General features: G+C 41.4%; 1 protein-coding gene across 12 annotated transcripts in view; it reads right to left on the reverse strand.

Annotated features, from left to right (window-relative positions):
- PHF8 (PHD finger protein 8) overlaps positions 1-12,299 on the reverse strand; it is a 112,257-nt gene that overhangs the window by 37,675 nt on the left and 62,283 nt on the right. For 11 of the 12 annotated variants that reach the window (XM_005261996.2, XM_011530778.2, XM_047441934.1 and 8 more), the window contains 2 exons: positions 11,462-11,595; positions 10,560-10,873 (listed from right to left, as the gene is read on the reverse strand). In XM_005261996.2, coding sequence (XP_005262053.1) covers positions 10,560-10,873; positions 11,462-11,595 — 448 coding nt within the window. Of the gene's footprint in view, positions 1-10,559; positions 10,874-11,390; positions 11,431-11,461; positions 11,596-12,299 lie in introns of all 12 variants that reach the window. The other variant, NM_001184898.2, reaches the window with a different exon arrangement.

Genomic DNA, 12,299 nt, shown 5'->3' on the forward strand with positions numbered 1-12,299 from the left:
CAATGAGACACTATCTCACACCAGCAGGATGGCAATTAAAAACTCAAAAAACAACAGATGCTGGTGAGGTTGCAGAGAAAAAGGAACGCTTTTACACTGTTGGTGAGAGTGTAAATTAGTTCAAGCATTGTGGAAGACAGCATGGTGATTCCTCAAAGATCTAGAGGCAGAACTACCATTTGACCCAGTAATCCTATTACTGGATATATACCCAAAGGAATATAAATAATTCTATTATAAAGATACGTGCACACGTATGTTCACTGCAGCAGTATTCCCAATAGCAAGGACATGGAATCAACCAAAATGCCCATCAATGATAGACTGGATAAAGAAAAGCTGGTACATATACAGCATGGAATACTATGCAGTCATAAAAAGGAACGACATCACGTCCACTGCAGGGACATGGATGGAGCTGGAAGCTGTTATTCTCAGCAAACTAACACAAGAACAGAAAACTAAATACCCCATGTTCTCACTTGTAAGTGGGAGCTGAATGACGAGAACACATGGACACATGGGAGGCGGGGAACAACATATACTAGGGCCTGTCAGTGGTGGGGAAGGAGAGTACAAGGAAGAACAGCTAATGGATGCTGGGCTTAATACCTAGGTGATAGGTTGGTCTGTGCAGTAAACCACCATGGCACACGTTTACCTATGTAACAAACCTGCACATCCTGCACATGTACCCCAGAACTTAAAAGTTGGAAAAAAAATGTCCAACAGGTATATGGGGAAAATGTCCAATATCACTCATCATCAGGGAAATAGAAATCAAAACTGCAATGAGAAATCATCTCACCTCAAGTTAGAATGGCTATTATCCAAAAGACAAAAAGTAACAAAAGCTGGAGAGGATTTGTTACTCTTCAGCATTTGGAGAAAGAGGAACATTCATACTACTGTTGGTGGGAATATAAGGTAGTACAACTATCATAGAAAACAGTATGGAGGTGTCTCGAAAAAGTAAAAATAGAACTACCATATGATCCAGCAATTTGACTGCTGGGCATATCCAAAAGGAAAGACATCAGTATATCAAAGAGATATCTGCATTCCCATGTTCACTGCAATACTATTCACAATAGCCAAGATATGGAATCAACCTAAGTGTCCATCAATGGACAAATGAGTAAAATTAAGAAATGTGGTATATATAAACAATGGAATATTATTTAGCCATTAAAACAAATGAAATCCTGTCACTTGCAGTAAAATGAAGGAAAATGGAGGTCATTATATTAAGTGAAATAAGCCAGGAATACGCAGACAAATATCGCATGTTCTCACTCATATGTGAGAGCTAAAAAAGTGGATCTCACAGAGGTGGAGAGTAGAATGGTGGTTACCAGAGGCTGGGAAAGGAAGCGGGGGATGAAAAATAGTTGGTTAATGGGTACAAAAATACAGTTAGATAGAAGGAATAAATTCTAGCATTCAATAGTACAGTCAAGAAATTACAGTTAATAATTTACTGCATATTTCAAAACAGCTAGAAGAGAATTATAATGTTTCTGACACAAAAATAAAGGTTTGATGATAGATATATCACTAAGCCTAACTTCATCATTACACATTGCATATATGTATCAAAATATCACATGTAACCCCAAAATATACACAATATGCTGTTAATATATCAACTTTATAAAATACCAAAATAAAAAAAAAAGGCTGGGCATGGTGGCTCACACCTTTAGTCCCAGTACTTCGGGAGGCCAAGGAGGGCGATCACTTGAGGTCAGGAGCTCGAGACCAGCCTGGTGAAATCCCACCTCTATTAAAAATGCAAAAATTAGCTGGACATGGTGGCGCCTGACTGTAATCCCAGCTACTCGGGAGGCTGAGGCAGGAGAACCACTTGAACCTGGGAGGTGGAGGTTGGAGCGAGCGGAGACTGCGCCACAGCACTCCAGCCTGGGTGACAGACCAAGACTCTGTCTCAAAAAAATAAAATAAAATAAAATAGAATAAAAATAGCAAAAAAAGAAACGAAAAAGGTCTCAAATAAATAATCTAAACGATCATCTCTGAAATTAGAAAAAGAATAAAATAAAACTACAGCAATCTTAACTACATTAAGAGTGGAATGTAACTGACAAAACATAGAAAATGAAACCAAAAATATTGAAAAGATCCATTAAATTGACACAATAAGGCCTGGCTCACACTTGTAATCTCAGCACTTTGGGAGGTCCAGAAGAGATGATCACTTGAGGTCAGGAGTTTGACACAAGGCTATGCAACACAGTGAGACCCCCATCTCCATAAAAATAAAAAAACAGCCAGTGGCATGCACCTGTAGCCCTAAAAACACTTTTTAAGTTAAAAAAAAAAAAAAGACAAAGTGCCAGCAAGAATGGCAAAGGAAAAAAAAAAGAGAAGAAACAATTTACCAATATCAAGAATGAGAAGGGAAAAGGGGGATATCACTAAAGACCCCATAGACATTTAAAGAATAATAGGGGAATTCTACAAACAACTCTATGCCCATAAATTCTGTAAGTTATATGAAATGGACCAATTCCTTGAAAGATACAAACTATAAAAACTCACCCAAACTCTTTCCCCTCTTTTCACTACTGCCCTTGGCTAGTCTTAAAAAATAAATAAATAAAAAATAAATAAATAACTCACCTAAAATCAAACAGATAACCTGAAAATTCTATATCTACTAAAGAAAATAAATCCAGGCTGGGTGTGGTGGCTCATGCCAATAATCCCAGCACTTTGGGAGGCCAAGGTGGGTGGATTACTTAAGGTCAGGAGTTCAAGACCAGCCTGGCCAACATGGTGAAACCTCATCTCTACTAGAAAAAAAAAATTAGCTGGGGAATGGTGGCACGCACCTATAGTCTCAGCTACTCAGGAGGCTGAGGCATGAGAATCACTTGAACCCAGGAGGCAGAGGTTGCAGTGAGCCGAGATCGTGCCACTGCACTCCAGCCTGGGTGACAGAGCAAGACTGGCTCAAAAAAACAAAGAAAAGAAAACAAAAAGAAAAATTCATAGTTAAATCCTTAACAAGAAATCTTAACAATGCATTCAAAATGTCTGTTTAATGACACTTCAAAAAAGAGGATATATGAATGGCAAACACACAGAAAGTTGTTTATTATCATTAGCCATTAGATGAATCACTAAATGAGATATCACTACATACTTATTAGGATGATTAAAATAACTATATTGACAAAACCAAGTGCTGATGAGTATGTAGAGCAACTGGAATTCCACATATTGCTAGTGGAAATGTAAAACAACCATTCTGGGAAACAGTTCAGTAGCTTTTTTTTTTTTTTCTGAGACAGAGTCTCGCTCTGTTGCCCGGGCTGGAGTGCAGTGGTGCGATCTCGGCTCACTGCAAGCTCCGACTCCTGGGTTCACGCCATTCTCCTGCCTCAGCCTCCTGAGTAGCTGGGACTACAGGCGCCCGACACCACGCCCGGCTAATTTTTTGTATTTTTAGTAGAGACGGGGTTTCACCGTGTTAGCCAGGATGGTCTCAATCTCCTGACCTCGTGATCCACCCACCTCGGCCTCCCAAAGTGCTGGGATTACAGGCGTCAGCCACTGCGCCCGGCCTTTTTTTTTTTTTTTTTGAGATGGAGTCTCACTCTGTCCCCCCAGGCTGGAGTGCAGTGATGCAATCTCGGTTCACTGCAACCTCCACCTCCCAGGTTGAAGCAATTCTTCTGCCTCAGCCTCCTGAGTAGCTGGGACTACAGGCACATGCCACCACACCTGGCTAAATTTTTTGTATTTTTAGTAGAGACAGGGTTTGACCATATTGGCCAGGCTGGTCTCGAACTCCTGACCTCGTGATGTGCCCGCCTTGGCCTCCCAAAGTGCTGGGATTACAGGCACGAGCCACCACACCCAGCCAGTGGTTTCCTGTAAAGTTAAAACACCCACTGCCCATACCGCCCAGGAATCCCATTCCTAGGTATTTACCCTAGAAAAATGAAAACTCATATTCACACAAGAACCTATACCTGAATGTTCACAGCAGCTCTATTTGTAATCACCCCAAAGTGGAAACAACTGAAATGACCTTCAATGGGTATAATCCATACAATGGAATATTACTCAGCAATAAAAAAGAACAAGCTTTTGATATGCAACAACATGAATGAATATTAAAGCCATTATGGTGGGCCGGGTGCAGTGGCTTATGCCTGTAATCCCAGCACTTTGGGAGGCTGAGGCGGGCGGATCACGAGGTCAGGAGATCGAGACCAGTCTGGCCAACATAGTGAAACCCCGTCTCTACTAAAAATACAAAAAATTAGCTAGGTGTGGTGGTGTGCGCCTTTAATCCCAGCTACTCAGGAGGCTGAGGCAGGAGATTCACGTGAATCCGGAAGGCAGAGGTTGCAGTGAGCCAAGATCACGCCATTGCCCTCCAGCCCAGGCGACAGTGCGAGGCTCCATCTCAAAAAAAAAAAAAAAAAAGGCATTATGGTAAGCAAAAGATACCAGTCTCAAAATATTACATACTGCATAATTCCATTTATATGACATTCTGGCAAAGGCAAAAACCACAGTGACAGAGAGCAGATCAGTGGTTGCTCGGGAGTAGAGGGAAGGCATGACTACAAAGGGGGTAGTAACACAAAGGAGGTTAGGGAGTGATCAAAGGGCTCTGTATCCTGATTATGGTGGCTGGAAGAATATAAACATGTGTATACCAAGAGAGTCAATTTTACTTCATGTTAATTTAAAAAATAAAATTTCAGGCCAGGCACAGTGGGTCACGCCTATAATCCCAGCACTTTGGGAGGCTGAGGCGGGTGGATCACCTGAGGTCAGGAGTTTGAGACCAGCCTGGCCAATATGTTGAAGTCCTGTCTCAACTAAAAATACACAAAATTAGCCAGGCGTGGTGGCGTACACCTGTAATCCCAGCTACTTAGGAGGCTGAGGCAGAAGAATCGCTTGAACCGGGGAGGCGGAGGTTGCAGTGAGCCGAGATTGCACCACTGCACCCCAGCCTGGGTGACAGAGCGAGACTCTGTCTCAAAAATAAATAAATAAAATAAAAATAAAATTTAAAAAACGCTTTACCAAAAAGCAGATTGAAAATACATCAACAGAGCTTTCAACTCAAGATGTTGAATACAGAAAAATTAAAAAGAGAATAAAATATCAAACACTAGAGATGATCAATAAAGCCAAAAAACTAGTTTTTGAAAAGACTAGCAATCAAATAAACTAGATGAACTATTGTTAAACACCACAACCAAGTACAAGTACAGCTAATCTCAAGAAAATATCGATTCAAAATTAGTAATTTTATTAATGTCATTCACTGTATTAACAAATTAACATAGAAAAACTATGTATTTATGTCCAAATATGCCAAAATTATTTGGTAAAACCTAATTTGATTCTTGATTTTAAAACAAAAAAAAATCTTTTAAAGTAAAGCTAGCCTGGACAACATGGCAAAACCCTGTTTCCACTAAAAACACAAAAATTAACCAGGAGTGGTGGCGTGCACCTGCAGTCCCAGCTACTCGGGAGGCTGAGGTAGAAGGATCACTTGAGCCCAGGAGGTGGAGGCTACGGTGAGCCAAAATTGCGCCACTACACTCCAGCCTGGGTGATAGAGCGAGACTGTGTCTAAATAAGTAAATAAATAGCTAGAGACTCCCCTGAACTCTATGAGAGTAGTCTAACAGAGACCTATATATTGAGTGGAGAAAGACTGGCAGTATTCCCTTTAAAGTCTGAAAACAGCACAAGGATGCCCCCATCACCACTATGACTCAACACTGTAATAAAACTGGAAGCTAGAGGTATGAATACTGGAGAGGAGGAGGATATTATGGGTTGAATGGTGTCCCCTAAAATTCATATGGTGAAGACCTACCCCTAGTATTCAGAATGTAACTATATTTAGAGATAGAGCCTTTTAAGAAATAATTAAGTTAAAATGAGACCATTAGAGTAGGCCCTAAACCAATCTGACTGGTGGTCTTATAAGAGGTGGTGATTAGGACATACAGAGAGACGTCATGGGCGTATATGCACAGAAGTATGACCACATGAAGAGGCAGCAAGACGAAGGCCATCTGCAAGCCAAGCAGAGAGACCTCAGGAAAAACCAACTCTGCCAGCACCTTGATCTTCAACTTTCAGCTGCCAAAAGTGTAAGGAAATAACTTTCTGTTGTTTAAGCCACCCAGTCTGTGATATTTTGTTATGATAGCCCTATCAAACTAATACAGGACACACAGATCATCTACCTCAACAACTCAAGACAATAAACTGAAAACAAATAGAACTAATAACAGTATAATAAGGTAGTCCAATACAGGATTGATATGGGAAAGAATCAACTACTGTCCTCCGTATTAGCAATAGCCAATTAGAAAACGTAATACATAAAAAGATGCCAATTTTACGAACCAAAATAAAATTTCTAGAAATAAACTGAAGAAGAAATAAACCAAAGAAGAGATACATACAAGAAGACCTGAATAAATAGAGACAGACTATGTTTGAAGACAGAAACAAAAGATGGCTGCTGCTCATACCCAAAAGGTAAATAAGAGAAAGATGTCTGGCTGGGCCTGGTGGCTCGCGCCTGTAATCCCAGCACTCTGGGAGGCTGAGGCGGGTGGATCACTTGAGGTCAGGAGTTCAAGACCGGCCTGGCCAACGTGGTGAAACCCTGTCTCTACTAAAAACACAAAAAATTAGCCAGGCGTGGTGGCGTGTGCCTGTAATCCCAGCTACTTGGGAGGCCAAGGCAGGAGAACTGTTTGAACCAGGAAGGCAGAGATTGCAGTGAGCCCAGATCACGCCACTTCATTCCACCCTGGGCGACAAAGTGAGACTCGGTCTCAAAACAAACAAACAAACAACAACAAAAAGACAAAACAATGATTTCAATGCTGTTCAGAAGTTGTACCAGTTCAAAAACAATTTTCCATAGTTGTTTACAACCAATCAGTGGTAGACTTTTTCACAACTACAGAGAAAGCCTTAGCAACATAAGAAGACATACAGACAAAAATTAAAAATCACACAAGTTTGCCTACCAGAGAAAAAATAAATGGTGACTATTTTCTACAAAATTTAGTTCTGATGGGATAGGCTACCTGACAGAGCAGATAAAGAAGTTGCAAAGACATTTCCCTCTGTTTTTTTTTTGTTTGTTTGTTTTGCCAAAAAAGATTGATAGGGACTAGGCCCTGGATCAGATTTTGATTTGATGAAGCTGGTATCTATTTAACCAAATGCCCTCAAAAGAATCCAGATTTGGAAAGAGGAAGTCTGAGTCCAGAGCTTAAGGCCATAGAGAAGCCACTGACTATAATGCCGGGTACAAATGCCATTGGGCTCTAACTTAGAACTGCTATTATTTGAGTCTGTATTTTGGCTTCAAAGTCACATAGATTTTGAGGGCTGTGGCCCTAATCTCTTTTTGCCTGCCTTATTGTTTTTAGTGCACAAATTTTCAGGACATGAGGTTATATTCAGGAATGCGCAAATCCCAGTATAGCCGAAATGCCTCTGATGAAAGATAGGTCTCCATAAATTAATCCACAAACACCATGCAATCCTTTGAAAAGCTGATTCTAAAATCCATCTGGAATAGAAAAAGCTCAACAGCAGCCTCGAAATTCTGGAAAAATAAGAAAAAGTAGGGAGGTCTCTCCTTGGTAAGCTGCCTTTCCATGGTTGCTGGGCAAAGTAGGGAGGCGAAGGAGGGAGGAGAGGCTGAGTGAGCTGTTCTAAGAGGAGCGGTTAAATCAAGTCCAGACATCTTAGCTGCAGGTCAATGTGATTTGACTGCTCACAGTAGAGTGGGTGGCCAGGGGAACCTGGCATGTCCCTAAAACAAATCAAAGCTTAGCTCAAAGATGAGAGCCTTGGTGAGCATCTGTGGTCTCCTCAGGTTCACAGCAAGGTCTGCAGAGGGGATTTGCTCTACCAGAAACAAAGTCTGTGGTAACTAACCTACATGGTATTGTCACAGGAATAGACAAGTTGATTTTCATTTTCTTTTTTAGCATCTGTTTGGTAAAATAAAAATTTGTTTTGACAAGTTGATTTTATGGAACAGAATAATATTAATAATATCTAATACACAGTACTTACTTATCATGTGCTGGGCAATGTTTTAAGTGCTTTCTGTATATTTATTTAACTCTCATAACAACCTATGAGGTAGGTATGACTATCACAGAGAGGCATAGAGAGGTTAACTAGCCTGACCAAGGTCATATAGCTATTAAGGTACAGAACTTGGACTAAAGTGGAAAACAAATCCCCATATATATGGGAATTTCGTTTATGACAAAGGTAGAACTTCAAGTCAGGGGGATAATGATGAATTAGTCAATAAATGGTGCTGGGGGAAATGACTACTGATGTGGAAAAAAATAAAGTTAGATTCTAACCTCCCACAATTCACAAAAACTTAATTCCAGATAAAGAGCTAAAATTTTAACTCCTATACAAGTTTTAGGGGAAAATATAAGAAGGCCTTCTTAATCAAAACATAAAATACAAAAAACTATTAAAAACTGATAAAGATGGCTGGATGCAGTGGCTCACGCCTATAATCCCAGCACTTTGGGAGACCAAGGCAGGAGGACCACTTGAGCCCAGGAGTTTGAGACCAGCCTGGGCAACATGGCGAAACCCCATCTGTACAAAAAATAAGCTGGGTGTGGTGGTATGCACCTATGGTCCCAGCTACCAGGGAGGTTGAGGTGGGACTGCAGAGGTCTGAGGCTGCAGTGAGCCATGATTGCGCCACTGCACTCCAGCCTGGGAGACAGAGTGAGACTGTGTCTCAAAAAAAAAAAAAAAAATTGATAAAGATGACAATGTAAAAATCAAAATCATCTACATGCTAGAAAGACATAATAAAATTAAACACAAACCTAAAAGGAAATATTTTTCAATAAATCCAGAATATACAAAAAATACTCCAACACATCTAGAATATATAAGGAACTCTTACAAATCAATAAGAAAAACAAAACATCCCAACAGAAAAATGGGTGAAAGACTGAATGGAAAATTCACAGAAAAGGAATAAAGAAGAGTCAATAAACACGTAAAACAAACAAGACACCATCTTTTGCCATAAGGTTGGCAAAAATTAAAAAGGCTGATAGTATCCATTGCTGGTAAGACTATGGGTAAACAGGTATGTTTCATACACTGATCATGTACTGGCCCTTTTGGAGGGAAATTTGGCACTATTTATTAACATTTGTCTTCTACATACCCTTCAACTCAACAGGTCTATCCCCCCTAGAAAAATATTAACTGGCACACAGGTACAAAAGGTTACTGTAAGAATTTTCATTGCAGCATTGTTAGTAAAAGTAAAAACTTAGGAACAACTTAAATGTCAATCAGTAGGGAATGATTAAACATATGATATATTTCTATATTACAGAACACTATGCAGCAGATAGATCTCTGTATTGATAAGGTATATCTCTGCACTGACATTGAAAGAAAACTAAGCAAGTTGCAGAACCACACACACTAAAACTACACTTCTGTCTACATATGAATGTAAACACAACAAAATAAAAGGTATACATGAAAATGATGACAAAGGTTATCTTTGGGTTCAGAGAGGAAACAGTGTTAGTCAAAAAGAATTTTTGCTTTCTCCATCTTCTTCTAATTTTGGTCAATAAGCATTAACCATATTTGTATAACTTTTGAAATATTAAAACAATGGCCGGGCGCGATGGCTCACGCCTATAATCCCAGCACTTTGGGACGCCAAGGCAGGCGGGCAGATCACTTGAGGCCAGGAATTCGAGATCACCCTAGCCAACATGACAAAACCTTGTCTCTAGTAAAAATACAAAAATTAGCCAGGCGTGATAGTACACGCCTGTAATCCCAACTACTCGGGAGGCTGAGGCACGAGAATTGCTTGAACCCAGGAGGCGGAGGTGGCAGTGAGCTGAGATGGCACCACTGCACTCCACCCTGGGTTAATGAGGGAGATTCTGTCTCAAAAAAAACAAAACAAAACAAAACAAAAAGCACTTACATTATACAGTCACCTGTATTACACAAGAGTGCCTGATACACTGTGGTACTCAATAAAATCTTGGATTAAAAAAAGGAGTCATCTCTTAAATGTAAAAAGCTCACTGAAAGGTCATTATGTATCTCTGCAAGGGACAAACTGGCCAACGCAGGACACAAATGACACAGATGATGGCAGTCAAACAGGCAAGAGAAAAAAAGAGTCACCAGCGGTAAAGGTTGGACATTAGTAAAAATAGATGATAGCAAATTATAACTACCATTTTTTGAAGGCTTCCCATGAGCAAGAAACTGTGCCAGATGATCTGTGTGAGCATAATCTCAAATTCTTAACATTAACCTGTGAGATATTCCCATTTTACAAATTAGGAAAATATGGCTTAGAGAAACTAAGTATCAGGCTTAAGACCAGGACTTTGTTCACTACAAGCTGTCCTCTATTGGGACTAGGATGGAGACTGGGACTGAGGAGACCCCTTCTGGCCTGAACCCATGTGCTTAGCTGCCCTTACTATACTCTGCATCCTTGAAGCACGCTCCCAAGCTGTCCTGTTCATCCAGACTGGCGTTCTCCTCCTCCTCCTCGCTCTCGGTTCTCCAGTATGCTGGCCGCTTGATGGGCCGCTTCCCTGGGGTGCGCTGGGAAGCAGGACTGTTAGACACTGTGCCCAGCCCACTGCTGGAGCTCCCACTGCTTCGATCCTGTCCCCCAGTCCACCAGGCCTGCAGGCTAGAGGTAGCCGGTGAGGACGATGAGGACTGCAGGTTGGCCATGCACAGCATGCCCTGGATGGCCTCCTGAGTGCTGGGAGAAGCTGGGGCCTCGCTGCAAGGAACAGAGGAGAAATACTGAGAGAGTTGTTTTTAGCTGTCAGAGTAAATCGGTCATCAGAATACTCAGGGAGGAGGGATGATAGCTATGAGGATCAAAGTGGGAGGAAAAAGGGGAGAATCATCCAAAGTGAAAAATTTGGAATTAAGTTTAAGGATCAAGACAGTATCATAGATTGCTTTCACGAAAAGCCAGTCCTTTTTGTGTTGTCTCTCCACAGACAGCAGGCAAGGTGGCAAAAAAGGGGCACACTTCCCTCCCTGTTTAGGCATGCTGCATTCTTTCCTTTCATTGTTTTTGTAACAATTCTCCTTGCTTGACTCTTCCAGCCCCTCTTCCCAACTTCCTAAGTGCCCAAAATTGATTCCTCTTGAAGTCTATACATCTTATTGCCATCAGATCTTAAGTTCCTTAGGAGTGGTTTCATGCCTACTTTATTCTTTCACCCAAATGCCCTGGATAATTCTTTGTCCCTTTAAATAGCTCTATAAATATCTACTGATTGGCTGACCTGGCACCTTGGGCGGGAGCGGGGGTTGCTGTCTGATAGCCTGGAAAGGGGAGATAAAAGCCAGTACTCACGTGAGGGCAGCATAGTCAGGTCCCCCCACCTGCCTGCTGGCCTTGAGCAGATCAAGAATGCCACCAGCGCCACTACCATTCCCAAGCTTGCCTTCAACCCCTTCCACCATGTCCTCATCTGTTGTATAGTCCTCCTGTTGGAGAGAGAGTGTATCACCTCAGCTGCCCAGGATTGGTCTGGTAAGGCCCCAGTACAGGGGCGATGATCTGACTCCTGATATTAATATCTTCTGAGCACCAAGTATAGACCAAGTACTAAGCAGAATATTCATTCTTTTATCTTAATTTCCAAGGCATCTTTGTGAGCTAGGTAGTATACTCCCATTTTAAACAGATAAGAAAACTAAGGCTCAGGGAAGTTAAATAATTTGTGTAAGGTCACATCAGATACTCCATATCACATACTCTTTCTGCTACATCGCACTGACTTTTTATTTTTTGTTTTCAGACAGAGCCTCGTTCTGTCGCCAGGCTGGAGTGCAGTGGCACGATCTCGGCTCGCTGCAACCTCTGCCTCCTGGGTTCAAGCGATTCTTCGGCCTCAGCCTCCCAAGTAGCTGGGACTACAGGGGTGTGCCACCACGCCCAGCTAATTTTTTAGCAGAGACAGGGTTTCACCATATTGGCCAGGATGGTCTTGATCTCTTGACCTCATGATACGCCCACCTCAGCCTCCCAAAGTGCTGGGATTACAGGCGTGAGCCACCACGCCCGGCCCACACTGACTTTCATTCTATTCTGTATTAAAGGATGTTTAAGGTATTTCAACTAAATTGAAATCTTCCATTTATATGCTCAGCAGCACTTGGCACACAATCTTTCACTTAATAAATATTTC

Source organism: Homo sapiens, chromosome X (assembly GCF_000001405.40).
Source record: "Homo sapiens chromosome X, GRCh38.p14 Primary Assembly".
Lineage (NCBI taxonomy): Eukaryota > Metazoa > Chordata > Mammalia > Primates > Hominidae > Homo > Homo sapiens.